The sequence below is a fragment of the Homo sapiens genome, chromosome 12 (genome assembly GCF_000001405.40).
Source record: "Homo sapiens chromosome 12, GRCh38.p14 Primary Assembly".
Lineage (NCBI taxonomy): Eukaryota > Metazoa > Chordata > Mammalia > Primates > Hominidae > Homo > Homo sapiens.
Genome location: NC_000012.12, coordinates 25,091,706 through 25,111,472, shown reverse-complemented (window position 1 = coordinate 25,111,472; position 19,767 = coordinate 25,091,706). Strand labels below are relative to the sequence as shown.

The 19,767-nt window shown below is 36.5% G+C and overlaps 2 protein-coding genes and 1 pseudogene across 47 annotated transcripts in view, besides 1 other annotated feature; 2 read left to right on the top strand and 1 right to left on the bottom strand.

Annotated features, from left to right (window-relative positions):
• The window catches only part of DNAI7 (dynein axonemal intermediate chain 7), an 88,114-nt gene extending 83,688 nt beyond the window's left edge, over positions 1 to 4,426 (top strand). For 19 of the 26 annotated variants that reach the window (NR_147911.2, NR_147910.2, NR_147909.2 and 16 more), the window contains 2 exons: positions 1,233 to 1,346; positions 2,650 to 3,184. Coding sequence is in view for 23 of the 26 variants with exons in the window: in NM_001352067.2 (NP_001338996.2) it covers positions 1,233 to 1,346; positions 2,650 to 2,925 (390 nt within the window). In the remaining 3 variants the exon portion in view is untranslated. Of the gene's footprint in view, positions 1 to 1,232; positions 1,347 to 2,649; positions 3,185 to 3,840 lie in introns of those variants that run through there. The other 7 variants (NM_001352068.2, NM_001319977.2, NM_001352062.2 and 4 more) reach the window with 2 other exon arrangements.
• IRAG2 (inositol 1,4,5-triphosphate receptor associated 2) overlaps positions 3,138 to 19,767 on the bottom strand; it is a 110,761-nt gene continuing 94,131 nt past the window's right edge. For 18 of the 21 annotated variants that reach the window (NR_159369.2, NR_159366.2, NM_001394803.1 and 15 more), the window contains 8 exons: positions 14,429 to 14,563; positions 10,148 to 10,295; positions 9,232 to 9,275; positions 7,574 to 7,636; positions 7,415 to 7,464; positions 7,011 to 7,112; positions 4,423 to 4,530; positions 3,138 to 3,656 (listed from right to left, as the gene is read on the bottom strand). Coding sequence is in view for 17 of the 21 variants with exons in the window: in NM_001394803.1 (NP_001381732.1) it covers positions 3,413 to 3,656; positions 4,423 to 4,530; positions 7,011 to 7,112; positions 7,415 to 7,464; positions 7,574 to 7,636; positions 9,232 to 9,275; positions 10,148 to 10,295; positions 14,429 to 14,563 (894 nt within the window). In the remaining 4 variants the exon portion in view is untranslated. The remainder of the gene's footprint in view (positions 3,657 to 4,422; positions 4,531 to 7,010; positions 7,113 to 7,414; positions 7,465 to 7,573; positions 7,637 to 9,231; positions 9,276 to 10,147; positions 10,296 to 14,428; positions 14,564 to 19,767) is intronic. The other 3 variants (NR_159368.2, NR_159367.2, NM_001366548.2) reach the window with 2 other exon arrangements.
• CENPUP2 (centromere protein U pseudogene 2) lies at positions 17,596 to 18,891 on the top strand (annotated as a pseudogene).
• Positions 18,295 to 18,464: an enhancer, noted in NCBI's record as "experimental_26648 CRE fragment used in MPRA reporter constructs". NCBI's record gives its function as "activates a minimal promoter by MPRAs in K562 erythroleukemia cells, with activity observed for both the introgressed and non-introgressed 12:25246028 variant alleles {active_cell/tissue: K562}" and the evidence as "EXISTENCE:reporter gene assay evidence [ECO:0000049][PMID:34662402]".

Sequence of the window (19,767 nt, the reverse complement as noted above, 5' to 3'; positions counted from 1 at the left end):
TATGAGATTTCCTAAAAGAGTAAATAACTGCACTTTCCCAAACATGGTAAGTTAGGCAGAATTAAAAATACAAGGACCACCAATGTACAAAACCCACTTCCTTTAGTTTCTTGGCAAAGCCTCCATGTCTGTGTACTGTTTCATGTTCGTCATAAGGCTTTAGTTCAGTAAGATCCTTCCAGGTTAAACTGTGAGCTTCTTGAGGATGGGGGTCATTTCTTAATGAACATTGATTCTTCTAGCATCTAGCATAGTCCTAGAATATAGTAGATGCTTAGTAAACATTTGTGATATATGAAGACACAAAGTAACTTCTAATCATGAAAAGTGAATTTGTAGGCAGAAGAGTTCTGTACTCAAGAATATTTATGAATGTATCAGAAAATGACAATATAAGTAGATATTTATATAATATTTAGAAATAAGTGTATGTACATATATGCATAGGAAAAAAACCCTTGGTTTTAGTAACTCAAATTGCCTGTTACTCTACATTGTTGAATGTAGTGTTCTGCTCATGCTTTCAGAATATTCTACTCCAGGAAATATTTTTTTCTGAACACTGTGTGCTAGGCACTATTTTAGATGATTAGGATATAGCAATGAATGAAACAAAGGTCCTTACCTTTGTTTTCTTTCACAGTCGAAGGAAAACATTTAAAAAAATAAATGATTAGTATGTTAAAAAGGTGAAAAGTGCTATGGAAAAAAAGAAAAGGTAGATCCGGAATAGTGAGGCTGAGGCCATATGACACCCATATTAAATAGGGTGTCAGGGAGGGCAGCTTAATGAGAGATAACACTTGAGTGAAACTCAAAGGTGGGGACTTTAGCCATGTGCACATCTGGGGAAGCAGCTTCCTGGTAAACAACTGGAGCAAGAGCCCCGAGGGAGTGGCTTGGTGTGCTGGAGGATTGGAGGGACACCATGGAAACCATGGGGCCTGGAACTGAGAGAGCAAAGGGAGAAGAAAAAGAGGTCGGCAGGTAATGGGGTATATGTGGAGTCGGGAGTAGGGATGTCAGAGGGCCGTGCAAGTCGTTTGTTAACTATGGACTCTATTCTCAGAGAAAGGAAAGCCATTGCCCAGTGTTGAGAGAGGAGTCATGTACTCTGACTTACAATTTTAAGTGGATCCGTCTGTGTTGAAAATAGACTGAAGGAGGCCAAAGATGGAGGAAGACTTGTTGGGAGGCTCAAAGATCAATTCTATTTGTTTTTATATTGACAGGTTCCTTTGGTAGAAGTGAAAGCTTATCGACAGATGGCCCTACTAAGTTCTGCTTTTGCATTTGGTTGGAGCAAGTGGAACCTACTATGTAATTCTACAAAAGTCGTATTTAAGGTATGATATGTAGAAACCCATAAAACTACTTTGTCCTCCAAAAGAAGATAAAGTACTCAAAGACTAAATGAATGTAGACCATGGCTTCCCCTCTTAGAAAAGTTAAAAAAATTAACATTCAATACGGAATTTTAAAATTTCAAATTTTGGGCCAAGCACGGTGGCTCATTCCTGTAATCCCAGCACTATGGGAGGCTGAGGTGGGCAGATCACCTGAGGTCAGGAGTTCGAGACCAGCCTGACCAATATGGTGAAACCCCGTTTCTACCAAAAATACAAAATTAGCCAAGTGTGGTGGCGCATGCCTGTAATCCCAGCTACTCAGGAAGCTGAGGCAGGAGAATCGCTTGAACCTGAGAGGTGGAGGTTGTGGTGAGCCAAAATCATGCCATTGCACTCCAGCCTGGGCAACAAGAGCAAAATTCCATCTCAAAAAAAAAAATTCAAATTTTTTGTCAAAAATATAAATCTAAATTATATAAAGTTTATGCCTTTGTTGTCCAAGCTCTTGACTTCAAGCCAGGCCAGAGTCCTTGTATCTGTTTACAAATTGACTCAAGAACAAATGGAAGCCTTGCCGGGTGCAGTGGCTCCCACCTGTAATCCCAGCCACTTGGGAGGCTGAGGTGGAAGGATCGCTTGAGCCCAGGAATTTGAGGCTGAAGTGAGCTATGATCACACCACTGCACCCGAGCCTGAACAGCAGAGTGAGACCCCCATCTCTTAAAAAAAACAACAAATGGAGGCTTTTAACATTAATATATCTGTGACTTACAGCCCCTCTCCTCTGAGAGGGTTAGTCCTCCAACTTAACTTCCTGATACCTTCTTGTTATCAGGTGGTAGTAACCATATCAAATTCTAAAAGCTGATGAATATTTTGGCCTAAACAAGCCACTGTATTTATTGCTCTTGTTTATTGTGTGTTTCCCCCACTCAAATATAAGCCCCTTGAGGGCAGGGCTTTGTTGTTGCAGTTGTTATTTATATATGTTGTATGTCTATATTTCTTCTGTGTTTTCTTTCTCTGTTATATCCCCAGCACTTAGAACAGTACCTCACACATGATAGGCACTCAATAAATATTTGTTGCATGAATTAATACATGTGGATAAGCTCCATAATCACCAAAATATAAACAGTGTGATGGTTTTTCAAAACCCAGTAATGGAACACATAGACTGTTTCTTTTAACCTTTGCAATTTTGGGGGATAAATTGAGCCCTTCAAATAATAATCTGCTACCAAAATACTGAATAGAAGAGGAATTATTAACAACTTGCTTGAATTTTTTTTTTTTTTAGGTGAGGGAACACCTTACTGAAGCATGTACTGAGAATCCTAATTGGGCCCTTTTAATGTTTAGTGGTGACAGAGCACAAAGACTGAAGATCAAGGAAGAGAGTGAGGCATTTTCTGAAGCACTTAAAGAAGAAACTGAGTTTCATTCTACTTTATATCACATGGTGAAGGATTTTGCTTCTGAGGAAGCAATGGAGAAAGTCAGGAGTTCCAACTGTCAGTTTGTCAACTCTGTGTGCCACATGCTGCTCTCTACCAGATTGCTCAGCTACTCCTAACCTCCACTTACAAACTGTATTGTAAGTATGAAGAACCAAGCATGGTGAAAGACAGGTATTTCTGCAACACAATGTAATGAGTGAATGAATACATTTCAAATCAACTATTAAAAATTTTCTAATCTGCATTTTCTACTCAAGTTTTATTTTAAAAACAGTATTTTTTTTTCCTTTGAATACTTGGCCTGTTAAGAATTTCAGCTTTCACTCTATGAAGATTTAAATGATTCTTTATTTCAATAAACTTTAACAAACAATATATAATATTTCTTCCTTAAAAAGCTCATTCAAAGATCATAGGCAGACTTCTTCCCCATTGTATTTTAGTTGGGGAGATAAAGGCAAAAAGAGGAAATGTAAGCTATCTTACAGTCATTCTGAGAACCTCTGGTTTCATGCTATACTTTCCCAGCTAAAAGTTACTAATTTACGAAGTTCAGATACTGAAACTTAAAAATCAAGATCCATATATTAGGATGTCCTGCTGTCACACTGGTGGTGGCCCATTGTGTCGGAGTCTGGTAAATGGCCACAAGATATGTTCTAGAGACGTCCATGAGTCCTCTTGCTGTGTGGGAGCGGCATCCACAGACTTCTGGAATAATTGGCCTGTGAGGAAGCTCATCAAAGCTGCAAACAGTACAATGAATGCAATAGAGAGCCAGAGGGCCTTATTAGCCTTTCTGATGGAGGACTTGAGATTTGTTGCCCAGGAAGCTATTGTGTCATAACTATAAGGAAAACACAAATAGAATTTGGTAATCGGTAATTTGTCATTAGAAACATTCCTTTTGCTAACACCACCAGTCAGGTGATCTGCCCTTCATACCCCCAAAACTGCCTTTTAATCTACATATTATGATTTATCATTTTGGTTTTGGAAACAATCTGCCTCCCACCCTTTGTACCTATTAGGATTAAAGAAATGATGTGCTACGATGAGAATCTGAAAATTACGTGATGTAGGCAGTATCTTCTAATAAGTACATACAAGTATCTCATTCTTTCAGTAAGGTAAGGCAACATATTCCTACAGTGGAAACAAAAATGTTATTTGCTGGGTAGAGTGGATGTCTGTGTATGTACTTATGTGTGTGTACAGTAGTCCCCCTTTATTCTTGTGGGATATGCTCCAAGACCTCCAGTGGATGCCTGAAGCTGAAAATAGTACTAAACCCAGTATATACTGTTTTTTTCCTATGGATACATGCCTATAACAAAATTGAATTTATAAATTAGGCATAGTAAAAGATGAACAATAACTAACATAAAATAGAATATAACATATATTACAGTAAAAGTTATGTGAATGTAGTCTGTCTCTCAAAATAGATAACATAGGTTCAAGGATAACCTGACATACAAAGTTTGTTATTCATCTTAAATACAACAATTTGGCATGTCTTTTAGTAATTTGATTAGGATTAATACTGTCAGCCCTGCCTCACCCTTTCCCATTCCACTAAAATGGTAGAATTTATCAAGTAGATAACTTACACTGAAGAGACATCCCACTTTGATGGATTATTTTTCTTTTCAGAAAGACTTGGCTTCCTTGTCCTTTCTACTGTTTCTTCTCCAGATGGCTCTGAGTCATCTTTAGTTCTGTAAATAAATGTTGTTTTTAATATTTGAAACTAAGGATAATATGCTATAATTATTCATAAAATATTGCTGAATCTTACTGTAACTCAAGAGGCTCACAAATATTTGTTCTGTTTTAGGGAAAGTCGATAAATATCTAACTCTAAAAATCAAATCACCAGATTTATAATTTAAACCTTTTATAGAAATTTAATTAAAAATAAGTTCTTCTATTTAGAAAAATAATAAATGTGTAGAAAGTTAGTTAGAATATTAGCCAAGTATATACAATAGAATATTAGCCAAGTATATACAAAAAGGGAAAATTTAAAAAGAACTTTCAGAAGTTAGTCTCATCATTAACCAATGTTATTACTATGAATTCTTTCTCTGCATATATATATGCAGAGAAACTCTGCCTAGGCTGGAGAAGAAACTCTGTTGCCTAGGCTGGAGTGCAGTATATATAAATATATACTATATATACACATATTTATATATAATATATACACACATATCTACATATAATATATGCATATTAATATATGCTTATACAAAGTTTATAATATATACACACATATTCCATAATATATATATTTATATATATAAAAATATGTATGTATATGTTGTATATATGTTTTGTATATGGATGTGTACATATACCTGTGTGTGCGTGTGTGTATGTGTATATATAAAACAAATGTGGGCACCATATCTCTTCCTTTTAAATTTTATTTAACATTAGTAAAAATCTTTTCTCATTATTATTGATTTTATTCCTTTCTCTGTATGATTTCCAATCAGTGCTAACTTGGAGTAACATCAGAGTTTTTCTCTGAAAATCTTAATAATTTAAAACGTGTTTTTGAAAATATTCTCAGTATAAAACTGGTTAAAATAAATTAGTATTCAGTGAACTGGGAAATAGCAATTGATTGACTGCATTTTAAATCAAATCATATTATTTAAAGAGGTGTTCTTCCACCTAAGCAAAACATAATTGTTCCACTATATTTGCTGATGAGTTCCTAGTTGGATTTGAATTTTGAAATCTCAAGCTCATAATACCCTCAGAATTGCCAAAGGGAAATGTGTCTCAAAGACTTTTTTTTCATTCAAACATCTATGGGAAATAAATATGATAGACTTTAGTTTTTAAAGAAAACAAGACCCAAAAGCCAGAATAAATTGCATTGCATTTCTGTAAGATTCTCAAGGTTTCAGTCTTGTTTACAAAGACTTCTCAGTAGAAATCATACCATACTAACAAAAAGCAAAAACTAGATAATCTTTTGAAGGAGACTCTTGAACTGATTTTTTTTTCCAACCAGCTCAAATTCATTATGTTAACTCTAAATCTGAAAAGAGTTTGTAACACATGCAGTAGGCTCCCAGGACTTTAAAAAAAAGAAAAAAACCAAAACAGATTATTTGAGGATTGCACCATGTCATGCTCATCTTTATATTCCTTAGAATTGAGCAGAGTGTCCATCCCATGGTAGGCACTCACGAAAATGTATAAAATAAAATAAATAAACATAAAATCATCTCCTTAAGATCCTTCACTTTAACAGATATGAAAACTGAAGGCCGGGCGCAGTGGCTCAAGCCTGTAATCCCAGCACTTTGGGAGGCCGAGGCGGGCGGATCACGAGGTCAGGAGATCGAGACCATCCTGGCTAACACAGTGAAACCCCGTCTCTACTAAAAATATTAAAAATTAGCCGGGCGTGGTGGCGGGCGCCTGTAGTCCCAGCTACTTGGGAGGCTGAGCCAGGAGAATGGCGTGAACCCAGGAGGTGGAGGTTGCAGTGAGCTAAGATCGCGCCACTGCACTCCAGCCTGGGTGACAGAGCAAGACTCCGTCTCAAAAAAAAAAAAAAAAAAAAAAACTGAGACCAAGTAAGGTTAGGCACTTTTTCTAATGTCACCCAAGGACTCAGAGGTAGCATTTCTGCATATCCCTCCTTCTTGCCCTCTACCTTTCACTGTAGAAGTATATTTGTTTAGTTTACTAGATACAGAGATAGCAATTCAGAATTTCATGTTTCCTCTACTCTTCACTTACATAAATGGAAGATAGATAGATGTACATACATGTTACATATGTGCCTATATGTTATATAATACGTACGTTATATATCTCATGTTTTTAAAAATATATAAATAGATGGACATTTTACTTCTGTGGCTCTTTATTGACCTTTCCCCATTGTAGACAGACACCTGGACAGGAAAAAAATTATCTTCACAAATATGGCAAACTCCAGGGTCTTTTCTAACTTAAGACCTCAAACTTTGCCATTCTGAGAGCTATGAGAGTGAATGTATTAATATTCACAAATAACACTTATATTGTGCTTTACAGTTTATAAAAGTGTTTTACAATGAATTATCTTTTTAATTATACAGCATTATTTCATCTCCATGGAATAAAAGTGATTCCCATTGTTTATGCCCCAGTTCATGTCAGGTTAATAAACACACTGAGCTTCACCTACTTTAGTTCACATTTTTCTTCTTCAGCATCTGCCCAGGAATAGGTGCTAATAAATCGAGGTAATGAGGGACGGTGTTCACTCTGCTTTGACCCCAAAATACGCCTAAATAAAGATGATTATAGCCACTTGTCAAATCAAATACATCTGTAGCCATTATCAATTTATTTCCTACTGCTTAAGTAAATACAAAATTATATGTCCTAATTATTTTTTTCTTGGCACATTCACAGATCTCCTACTTTATGATAAAAAACTTCATAATTAGATACCAATTTATATAATTATTCTGTTTACACTTTGTACAAATCAAACATTACTATATCACTTAATTTGAGCACTCATTTAGGTTAGCCCAAGTATAAAATAGTAAGGTTCCCAAAGAGGAACCATAAAATTACACTTACCAACTGCTTGACCTTCTACTGAATCGATCATTATTTTCCATCCCAGCCACCTTTAGTAGAAGTTCAAATGTTAAAAGAAATGATAAAATATACGTTTATATTTTCTGTCATATGAAAATGAATTTACCTTTGACTAAGAACACTTAGGAATTGTCTTACCATTCCTGCATTTCCAATATTTCTGGGTAAAGAGGCAATAGTCACTCTTCGTAGAGAAGATGGCTACCAGAAGGAGGAAAATGTACATTTAGAAAACTCTCAATAATTTATCATTATATGCAACACCAATAAATATCCTTGTACATGCATATCCGTGTACTTGACCACAGCTGAGTTAAACAGACATATCTTAAAGGATCCTCTTGTGGCCAAATTGTCTTCCAGAAATATTTTACCAATTTATATTCCACCTAACTCAATGTTGGATTATTATAATTTATGCCAATCTAACAAATATACAATTTGTTTAGGTTTGTAATTATTTGTCTTCTAGAAACATTGAACATTTCTTTTTATGTTAAATAATCATGTATTTATCTTCTCTGAGAACCACCTGTTTACCACCTTTGTCTATATTAATTTTGTTTATATTGAATTTTGTCTAAATTGAATTTTCATATTTCTGGCAGAAATTTTTTGTTGTTAATCCAGCCAAATCTATTCTTCTCTTTTGCTACCATTGCTTCTGTGCTTAGAAAGATTTCTCCCAACTCAGGAGGAGATAAATATGCACCTACATGTATAGCTTTTTTGTTCATGGTTTCATTTTTTTCCATTTAACACATTTAAGGATTTTCATGATGTTTTAATGAATGAAAGTGTTTCTTGAGATTTGTACAGAAAAGCATTATATAGTATTATGTGGTTCTTAAGGTTTAAATAAGTACATCAGGATAAATTTTTAAAATATGTAATAAATAAACTAATTTAAGGGGGTTCCATGTGAATCGTTTTCTTAAACCATCATCCCTAATTTAATTTCATAGGTTAGTTGAGCATCAAGAATATGAAACTGCGGCCCAAGAAACTTGGTTTCTAATCATGCTTCTACCAATACATGATCATAACTGATCACTTAACTTCTGTGTTTCTCTTCCCTCATCTGAAAAAGAGGGATTTGTATGGAATGATTTTAAAGTCACTTATTCAAAAATTCTGTATATCTATGAAATCCTGATTTTTACACTGTGGCAAAACCTGCCAGTTGACCTTCAGTATCACATTCTTCCTTCTTAGTTAGTAATAAGCCTCCTGATTTTTAGCTAGGCATACAGCCTCCCAAATACACGCTGTATTTTCCAGTCTCATTCGTAACAAAGAATGGAAAGAGAAATGTTACTTTGGACTTCTAGGGGGTGTCTTTACAGGGAGAGGGAATACTTGTCATTGCTTCTTTTTTTTTCTTGGAATGAGATGATGTAATGATGAGGGCTTGGTGCCTGGATCTAAAGTAGCCATCTTAGACTCTGAGGCAGAAGCCAAGGGCTGAGGGTAGTGAGGCAGCACGAAAGGAGGAGGCTGATCCCTCAGGATCTTGTGAAGCTGCTGTGCCATTGTCGGGTTACCCACTTCCAACTTCAGTTTTACACAACAGAGAGAAACCATTGTTGTACTGACTTTCTTCATGCTGCCAGGCACACTTAATTGATACAAAAATATAGCAGAGAGTATAAAAGCATACTTAGATAAACAAATACATCTATATGAATTAAAATCACTATTTTGTTATTTACATATAAAGGCCTGAAACTTCAAATAACATTTTAAAACCGTCTTATAGTATTTGCTAGACATTTGTTAAGTGAATTAGTAATTACCTTGGAGTTTAGAGAAGCTGAACGTTTTTTAATTTGGCAGTCATCTGAAAGGAAAAACACATTGACACATTTTAGCTATTACACATGCCATTTATGTTAAAGCAACGTCTTAATTCTTTAAAGGTAAAGCAAAATTCAGAAGATATTAAGACTTTAGAGACTACCGAGCAATATAAATATCTGTTTATCATTCATTTCATTCTTCATAACAATTACCATCTTAACCAATGGAATACAGTCCTCTGTGTCACTGTGATGTCCATAATGCCTAGCTAGCACAGGGTAGGCACTACATGTGTGTCTGCTGGAGAAAGGAATCCAAAAGTACAGTTCAGAAGAGTATCAAATATGGTTACTGTTCTAGAACAGGGAACAGATTCTTGAAATAAGAATTCTGCTCAGAAAAGTTCATATTGTTTATTTTAAATAAAACTATTGTAAGATTTATAGAAACGATATGTTACTCCCCGTGGCCTCATATGTTTCTCTATTTTCCAGTTCATCAATCAGCTTACTGTGCCAGGGTCATTCCTTCCGTGAGGAATCAAAACCGTTGCTGATGGCAGCGCCCATTTAAATTATTTATCCTTACTTTTTACGTGTGGAGAAATTCTAATGTATCCTAAGTAGGGGAACACTAAGGTCAACTTCATGAGTTGGATTAAATATATTCTGTCATCTCAGTAATCTAAATTGAGTTAATAAATTTTTGGTGTCATTACTAAAGAATCCTTCATGTGTCCCAACCTGTTTTCTGACACCTCACTTTTAGCTATATAAATAACAGGAATGAATTATTTTTCTAATATAAAGTTAACCTAAGAGTTTTATTATACTGAAGTAATAATAAGACTTAGCAAAAAAGAGGAGAATGTAGAAAAACACAACTAATACTATTATCATAAACTTTTATTACCATCATCTTCAAGAGGATTGAAAGACCTTTCATTCTGCAGAAGAACCTGTTTCAGTTCTTCTAATTCAGCGTGCTCTTTGGCATACATCCTCTTCAAGTTTTCTACGTGCTGAATCATCACTTCAACTGCTTTACTAACCCGGCTTTCCTAGCAAGAGAAAAAACGAGCACATTTACATTGAAAATACTACTCTCAATTAAAAGATGGTGATTAAACACATTTACCTTCACTCCATTCCTAAATCCCACTAAAGTGGCAATAAATGTTTTTTTTTTAAAAAGACATGCATCTACAGGGGCAAACAGAAGAGAATATGACAACAAGACTTTGAAAGCTGGATAGAAGGACTAGTGGCAAATGACTAAGACCTGGAAAAGCTGAACCCTAAAAAAGGCAGTAAGAAAAGCCTAGAAGCAACCTACACTGCACCTCAGTAAGGTTGATGGTGGGTATGTGAACAGAAGAAATGGTTGAAAGTCTGTGTAAAAAAAAAAAAAAAGATTAGGTCCAGAGACTCCTTCCTTACTGTGGCCAGCACAGCAATTTTCCCTCCACTATTTTGGTGAAAGACTACATACAGTTGGATATCTAGAGAGAGTTAACTTGAGGTTCTGTGGATTGGGAAAGAACAGATAGTTGATGATGGATCTATCATGCTGAAAACAACAGATTTAAGCAACAACTTATATGCATATTGAATATTGAGATCCAGCCTTATTCCTCCTTCCAGCCTCCAAACACTGGCAGCCAGAGTTACACCCTCAAGGCAGGCAGTTGGAAGGTTTTTCTCTGGGGATTCTAATATTCTAAGATAAAAGTCCTATAACTAATGACATTAGGAGTACCCCAGTGAAACATCTGGAATGTTCATAGTCCTATGAATATTTGTGTACAAGTATCTGAGTGCCTGTTTTCAATTCTTCTGGGTATACATCTAGGAATGAAATTGCTGAGTCATATGGTAATTCTATGTTTAACTTTTAAGGATCCACCAAACTGTTTTCCACGGTGGCTGGACCATTTCACATCTCCCAGCAACGTACAGTGTTTGCAATCTCCCCACATCCTCACCAACACTATTCCTTCTTTGCTTCCTCCCTCCCTCCTTCCTTCCTTTCCAACTTCCTTACTTCCTTTCTTCTTTCACCATAGCCATCCTCGTGGGTGTGAAGTGGTATCTCATTGTGGTTTTGATTTGTATTTCCCTAATACATTTAAGGATGTTAAATATCTTTTTACCTGCTTATTGACCATTTGTGTATCTTCTTTGAAGAAATGTCTATTGAAGTCTTTTGCCCATTTTTTTTTTTTTTTTTTTTTTTTTCAGATGGAGTCTCACTCTTGTTGCCCAGGCTGGAGTGCAATGGCACGATCTCGGCTCATTGCAACCTCTGCCTCCCGGGTTCAAGTGAGTCTCCTGCCTCAGTCTCCCGAGTAGCTGGGATTATAGGCACGTGCCACCACACCTGGCTAATTTTTGTATTTTTAGTAGAGACGGGGTTTTACCACGTTGGCCAGGCTGGTCTCAAACTCCTGACCTCATGATCTGCCCATCTTGGCCTCCCAAGGTGCTAGGATTACAGGCGTGAGTCACCGCGCCCGGCCACACATCCTTTCAAACCACAGTAAGACATTGGGTTTTACCCCAAGTAAACTGAGGAGCTTTAGGACGCTGAACCAAAAAGTAACACAATCTAATTTTAAAAGGATTACTCTGGCTCCTTTATTAAGAACAGACTATGTTGGGAGGAGGGATTGGAATTGGATGGAAGCAGGGAGACCATATAGGAACCTATTGCATTAATCTGGACAAAACAGAATGGAGGCTTAGATCAAGATGGTAACAGTAGAAAGGGAAATAAATGGTTGAATTCTGAATATATTCTGACAATTCAGCCAATAGGATTTTCTGTAGGATTTAATGTGAAGTGAGAGAGAAAGGTGTTGAGAATTACCCCAGCTCCCTCTGCCCCTATTTTGGCCTGAGCAACTAAAAGGACAGAGCTGCCCTTGAGTGAAGTAAGGAGCTTATGCATGGGGTAGGTTTGGTGGGGGGACCATGAACAGTCAGTTTTGAATGGTAGGTTTGAGTTTATCAAACATCCAAGTGGAACTGTTGAGTCAGCAGTAGCATACTCTGCTCTGGAGCTCAGGGGAGTGGGTTAGGCTAAACATATGAATTTGAGAGTCCTCAGGTGACTGCAAGGGATCACAGGGGGATTGCGTGCACATGGAGATCAGATGTGCACGAGTGGAGTCCTGGGGCTCTTCAATATTCAGAGGTCCAGGAGAAGGGGTAGAACTGCAGGAAGCCTAGAAGGAGCAGCCCGTGATGTAGAGAAAAGCTAGAGGACATGGTGCCTGGAAGCTAAGTGAGGAAAGCATTTCCAGGAAGAGGAAGACATCAGCCATGCCAGATGAGGACTGAGAAACTGAATTTGGTAATGTGGAGGTCACTAGTGACCTTGGAAAAATCTGCTTTGTGGAAGCAAAAGGCTGATACAGAGTGGGTTGGAGAGAACGTGGGAGGAGGGAGACTGAACACAGTGAGTACCATTCTGTCGAGGTTTGCTGTAAATGGGAGCAGAGAAACAGGGTGGTGGCCAGAAAAGAAAGGATAAAAAGTTATTTTGTTTGTGTTTGTTTTGTGTTATTATTCCCATCTAGAAAACAACATATTATTTGTGTGCTGATAGAAATGGTTCAGTAGAGTGGAGAAAATGTAAATGGAGAAAAGTCAGGAGAATTTGGTCCCATGACTCTGAGTAAATTAGTCGGGAAGGCTCCCATCTACAGTGGGGAAGGCTGGCCTTGGATAGGGTTAGAGACAACGCATCTTTAGGAACAAGAGCAAGGGAGTGTGTAAGGATTCACACGCTGGGAGGCTTTGTGGCAGTTTCCTTTGATTGTCCCAGTTTCCTCAGTGAGGTTGGAAGCAGTCATTACCTGTGTTTGAGAGAGAATATGGGGAAAGACATGACAGTGGTTTGAGGAGAAAGGAAAGGGTGGGAAATTGATATTTAAAAGAGAAGGAGGGTGATTGAGGGGAAGCCCCAAGGACCCGCTTGAGGTTTGTGATAATGAATTCAAAGAGAAACAGGTCAGCATGGGAATGTGACATTTTCCAGCTATGCAGGCATGAGAGGTGGAGAAGCGGATTTACTTGTAGATTCGCCAAATGAGTAAGACAAAGCAAGAAAGGGGTAAGTGATGAGGGGACATGCAAGGTAGTGAAAACTATGTTTAACTGTGGAGTATAAGCTTGGCCAGGAAAGCAGGATGGCCAACAGTAGCTTGAGGGACAGTGAAAAGGTGTGATGGGCCAGAGATTGATAAAAGAACTAAATATTTGTCTTCGTAGTGGAAGAGCAACAGATAATACCTAAAACTGAAAATAAATCACTAAATGGCAGCATGAGCATGTTATTGAAAAATGTGAATGCAAATACAAAACAAATAAGACAAAAAGTTGAAAGTTGTTTCTCTGGATCACGGGAAATTAGTAAGGCTTATAGAGCTGATTGACCTTTTAAAAAACTATGTGCATATATAACTTTAGTAAAAATGAAACAAAGAATAACAGTATTCTCTAGTGAGGGGTTAAAAAGGAACTAAGGTGTGAAAGTATATAACAAATGATCAAACTAAAATTACTACCACAATTAAATTTCTCCTTAAGAAAATATATTTTAACAAGTCTGCTTAGGTATAGATTTAAAAAATTCATATCTCCCCAGGTTTGCCCACAAAGAAATTTTGGAATTCTACTTCTCTAAGGACAAATACACACAGATGCATATACAAGGATATTTACTGGAGCATTGTTTATAACAGAAAAATACCAAAAACATCCTGAAATGATTGAATACAAGGAATTGGTTAAATAATTTATATCTACTCAACCAGTAGAATACCATAAAATGGTGACATGTGAGTATATAATTATATCACACAGAAAGTTACCTATGTTGTATGATGAATAAAAAGCAGATTATAACACTATATAAGGGATTATAAACACTATATTATAACACTATACATCTTGAAGAATATATCACAAAAATTTTATGATTGTCACTGGATCGTATTATATTTTTTTAACATTTTTTATTTGTATATTCCATTTTTTCTGTATTAAACACATATGTATTAAACGCATATGTCTTATACAACAAAAGTATTTTTTAAAACTTATTCCTAGAAGTGAGAAATCCATAGTCTCAGGAAAAGTGAATCTTTTTTGTAATTTCATTCTAACTAGAGAAATGAAGACAGGTTACCTGATTGATGGCTCCCAACATCTCAGCCCTACTGGCCACTCGTGCTGCACACTGGCTAAGAAACTTTATACTCTTCTCCAGCTTCTTAATGATTTCCTGTGCCTGGTTGTCATCTTCACACAGAGGTGTTAAAGACTGTATAGAAAACAGCATATTAAAAGATATCTAACACAAGCATTCAGCGAGTGATTCTAACACTGACTAAGTTGCAAATGTGGATGACATTCTAATCTCAATTATTTCGGTGGAAGATGAAAAGAAGCAGCAAAGATCAATAATGAATGATACTGATATATTATTATCTTTTTTGGGTACTGGGTAGATATACGCAGGTGATCACAAATCTTTTATGTCTATTCTTGATCCCTTTTTTCTTTACTTCCCAAATTTGCCACATCTTTCTTCTACAGCTAATAGGATGGGCTGCAATTAATTGGTAATGGTAAAGAGATTATGCTTACAAAAGAGGTGAATGTATCATATAAGGAGCATAGGTTGGAATTTTAAGAAACGTAACCAAACATATTGGAATTAAAAATGTCTCTGACGGTATGACTGGGCTGGCTAGGTGAATATACATTCATTGCCTTATGAATTTTCCTCTCAATCCTGTGCCCTTTACACAATATGATGCCCTTCCTGATGAACATCCTTCTCACCAGAGTACAGACAGGATTAAGTGAATAACAGATTTGGAAGCAGACATGACACTGCTCATTACCTGTGTGATTGTGAGCAAATTTCTAAAACTTTCCCAAATCTAAAGCAACATGAATTATAAGAGATACAACGATTTTGTATATCATTAAGAAAGAAAAGGCTGTCAATAAAACCATTAGGCACCACCGACTGTAAATTGCATCATAATTTTAGAAATGTTCAAAAAAAATCAACCTTTCTGATTTGCTGTTCCTTATCTGTCCAGTGGGGACAATCACGTATCCTCTCCAGAAATACTGTCATATGATAGGTAAGAGATGCCAACTGCCTGTTGCACATTTGGTGCTCAATGAAGGATAACCACTTTTGAAACAGACAGATATGTGTAAGTTGTAGTTAGAGAGTTGCTAACCAACTAGGATGGCAATTGTCAGACATGCAGTTTCTTACAGTGGTTTAAACCACCACCTCCAGTTGGGAAGGAAAGAGCAGATGTTAATTGTTAGCAAAACAGAGTATGGTCAACCAGGATTAAGCCATGAAGAAACAGAGAATCTGAACAGACCTATAACTAGTAAGAAGATTGAATCAGTAATCAAAAATCACCCAATAAAGAAAAATCCATGACTGAATGGCTTCACTGGGGAATTCTACCATTTAAAGAATTAATGCCAATCTTCATAAAACTCTTCCCAAAAATTGAAGAGGAATACTTCCAAGCTCATTCTATGAAGTCCACATTACCTTAATGCCAAAGCCAGAAAAAGACATTAAAGAAAAAAAACTACAGACCAATATCTCTGATAAATATTAATGTAAACATTCTCAACAAAATACTACTAGACTGAATTCAACAGTACATAAAAAGGATTATACATCATGTACAAGTAGGATTTATTTCTATAATGTTAGGGTGGTTTAACATATGAAAACCAATCAATATAATATACCACATTAACAAAAAGGAGGACAAAAACCATATAGTCATTTCAACTGATGCAGAAGAAGCATGTGATAAGATTGAACACACTTTTATGATTAAAAAACACAAAAACTAGGAATACTAACAAAAAGATGCAAAAAACCACACATTATTTTTACTATGTCACTGAAGTGCTAATTTAAAAAAATAGAAATAGGAGAAAATTACCTTAACCTAATAAAAGTTATATATGAAAACCCTACTACGATTATACTCAGTGGTGAAAGACTGAAAGCTTATTCCTTTAAGGTCAGGAACAAGGCAAAGATGCCCACTCTCACCAATATTATTCAACATAATACTGGAAGTTCTAGCCAGAACAATTAGGCAAGGAAAATAATGAAAAGTTATCCAAATCAGAAAGGAAGAAGTCAAATCATTTCTGTTTGTAGATGATATGATCTCATACATAGTAAACACTAAAAATTCCACCAAAAAAACCTGTTAGAACTAATATACACATTCAACAAAATTGTAGGGTACAAAATTAACACAAAAAATTAGTTGTCTTTCTACACACTAACAATTTCCAAAAAAGAAATTAAGAAAACCATTCCCTTTACAATAGCATCAAAATGAATAAAATACTGAGGAATAAACCTAACAAAGGAGATAAAAGAGATGTACACCGAAAACCACAAAACATTTCTGAAAAAAATTAAAGAAGACAAGACACAAATAAATGGAAAGACACCCTGTGTTCATGGGTTGGTAGACCTGATTTTGTTAAGCTCTCTATAGTACCCAAAGTGATACACAGATTCAAGGGCATCTCTATCAAAATCCCAATGGCATTTTTTCTTTGCAGAAATAGAAAAATTTATCCCAAAATTCATATGGAATCTAAAGGGACCCTAATAGCCAAAACACTTTTGAAAAAGTAGGAGGACTCATACTTCCTAATTTTAAAACATATTACAATGCTACAATAATTAAAACAGTGTGGTACTGACATAAAAACAGACATATAGACCAATGGAATAGAATTAAAAGCCCAGAAATAAATGTATATGAAATGATCTTCAACCAGGGTGCCAAGAATCCACAATGAGGAAAGGATGGTCTCTTCAACAAAATATTGCTGAGAAAACTCGATATCCACATGCAAAAGAATGAAATTGGACCCTTACCTTACATCATATATGAAAATTAACTCAAAATGGATTAAATACCTAAAAGTAAGACCCCAAACTAGAAAACTCCTAGAAGAAAACATAAGGGAAAAGCTTCAGGACATGGGTTTTGGCAATGGTTTCTTGGATATAACACCGAGAGCACAGACAACAAAAGTGAAAATAGACAAATGGAACTACATCAGACTTAAAAGTCTTTATACATCAAAGGACCCAGTCAACAGAAAAGGCAACCTATAGAATGGGAGAAAATCTTTTCAAACCATACGACTGATAAGGGGTTAATATCCACACTATATAAAGAACTCCTGCAACTCAACAATTAAAAATCCAAATAACTCAATTAAAAAATGGAAAGAGAGTGGCCTGATGGCCCTGCCACATTGAGTGCAGCCTCCCGGGCATGCAGGTCCATGATATTCAAAGAACATTTTATGAAGAATACATCCTGTGAAAGATAAAGCTGGTCAAAAGTGCAAGCCTACCAATGTGTTTGATTTTCCTAATAATTCTGCCGTCTCAAGAATTGGCAGGCTTGGTGAAAATGAGAAAGATGAAGAACCTTATGAAACCTTTGATCCTCCTTTACACAGCTCATCTATGTATGCCAATGAAGAATTCTCCAAATATTGTGGATTATCTACCACTTCAACTCCTGCAGGAAAAGAAGCAAAAAGAAGCTCGAGCACTTCTGAAAATGAAGGAAGTGAAAACGAATCTGCAAAAATGAGTGCAAAAAGCCAGGAAGAAAACTCAAACTCAGCGATGAGTCTGAAAGCACTGAAGAAAGTGATGTGAGAAGAAAAGTTAAGTCAGTGGAGAAAATAAAGACCCAACAACACGAGGCTATTCCAACTACAGCATCTTCAGCCCTTTCAGAGAAACCAGCCGACTCAGTCACTTCCAAAACCATAGGACCCATTAATGCCCAGCCATCTGTTGAAAAAGACACACTGACAACAGAAAGTCAAGCAAAACCCAGAAAAAAGGGAATATATCTTATGGCAAAAGGAAGAAATCAAGAAGTGAAGCAATAGACTCAGATATTTCCAACATTGTGCATATTTGGTGTCTGGAAGGAAGGAAAACCAACGACATCATGGAATTGAATATTGTTTTGCCTGCATTTGAGAAAAACCTCGTCCAGTATAAACATTGAATAGAATCTAAAATTTGTAAGAAACACATCAATAAATTTTATTGTACTAGTAAAGAAGAACTCAACAAAATGCTTAAAAAGTCCAGATATTGAAAAATCTGAAAAAGAAGAATGCTAAGGTAATTTCAGATATCAAAAAGAAATGACAGCGTTTGACTGAAGTCCAGGATGAGCTGCTTTGGTTAGAGCCACCAACTGAAACAACTACAAACAAAATATTATGAACTTAAGGAGAGAACAGTCTTCCCTTAGGAATGCAGCTATTTCTTATCTAATTCAAAACAACTCCATCGGAAGTATTCAGATGTTCAGGAGAAAGAACCAAACGTAAAGGAAACATAAGATTCATCCAGCCTTCCAGGTGTTATTTAAAGTAGGAACACTTTTGGGAGCTGAAAATCTTCTGTAAAATATCAGCCATCAATGAGAGAAGCTCCTCCACCAGGAATGAGAGACTAGTCTACTAAAATATGCCTATAGAAAGATTACTCTTATGCTACTATGTTACCTTCTGAAACTGTCCTTTTTTTTTTTTTTTTTTTTTTTGAGATAGAGTCTTGCTCTGTCACCCAGGCTGGAGTGCAATGGCATGATTTCGCCTCACTGCTCCCTCCACCTCCTGAGTTCAAGCGATTCTCCTGCCTCAGCCTCCCAAGTAGCTGAGATTACAGGTGTGTCCCACTATGCCCAGTTAATTTTTTTTTTTTTTTGAGATGGAGTTTCACTCTTGTTGCCCAGGCTGGAGTGCAGTGGTGTGATCTTGGCTGACTGCAACCTCTGCCTCCCGGGTTCAAGCGATTCTCCTGCCTCAGCCTCCCAAGTAGCTGGGACTACAGGCGCCCACCACCACACCTGGCTAATTTTTGTATTTTTAGTAGAGATGGTGTTTCACCATGTTGGCCAGGCTGGTCTCAAACTCCTGACTTTAGGTGATCTGCCTGCCTCAGCCTCCCAAGTAGCTGGGACTACAGACGCCCGCTACCACACCTGGCTAATTTTTGTATTTGTAGTAGAGATGGTGTTTCGCCATGTTGGCCAGCTGGTCTCAAACTCCTGACCTCAGGTATCTGCCTGCCTCAGCCTTCCAAAGTGTTGGGATTACAGGAGTGAGCCACTGTGCCCAGCCCTGAAACTGTACTTTTATAAATAAAATTTTTTTCTGCAAAGAAAATAGAAAGGGACTTTAATAGACATTTTTCCAAAGATGATGTACAAATGGCCAGCAAGCACATGAAAAGATGCACAATATCATTATCCATTAGAGAAATACAAACCAAACCACAATAAGATACCACCTCACATCCATTAGGGTGGCTATCATAAAATCAAACAGAAAATAACAAGTGTTGGTGAAGATTTGGAGAAATTGGAACCTTTGTGCACCGTTGGTAACAATCTAAAATGA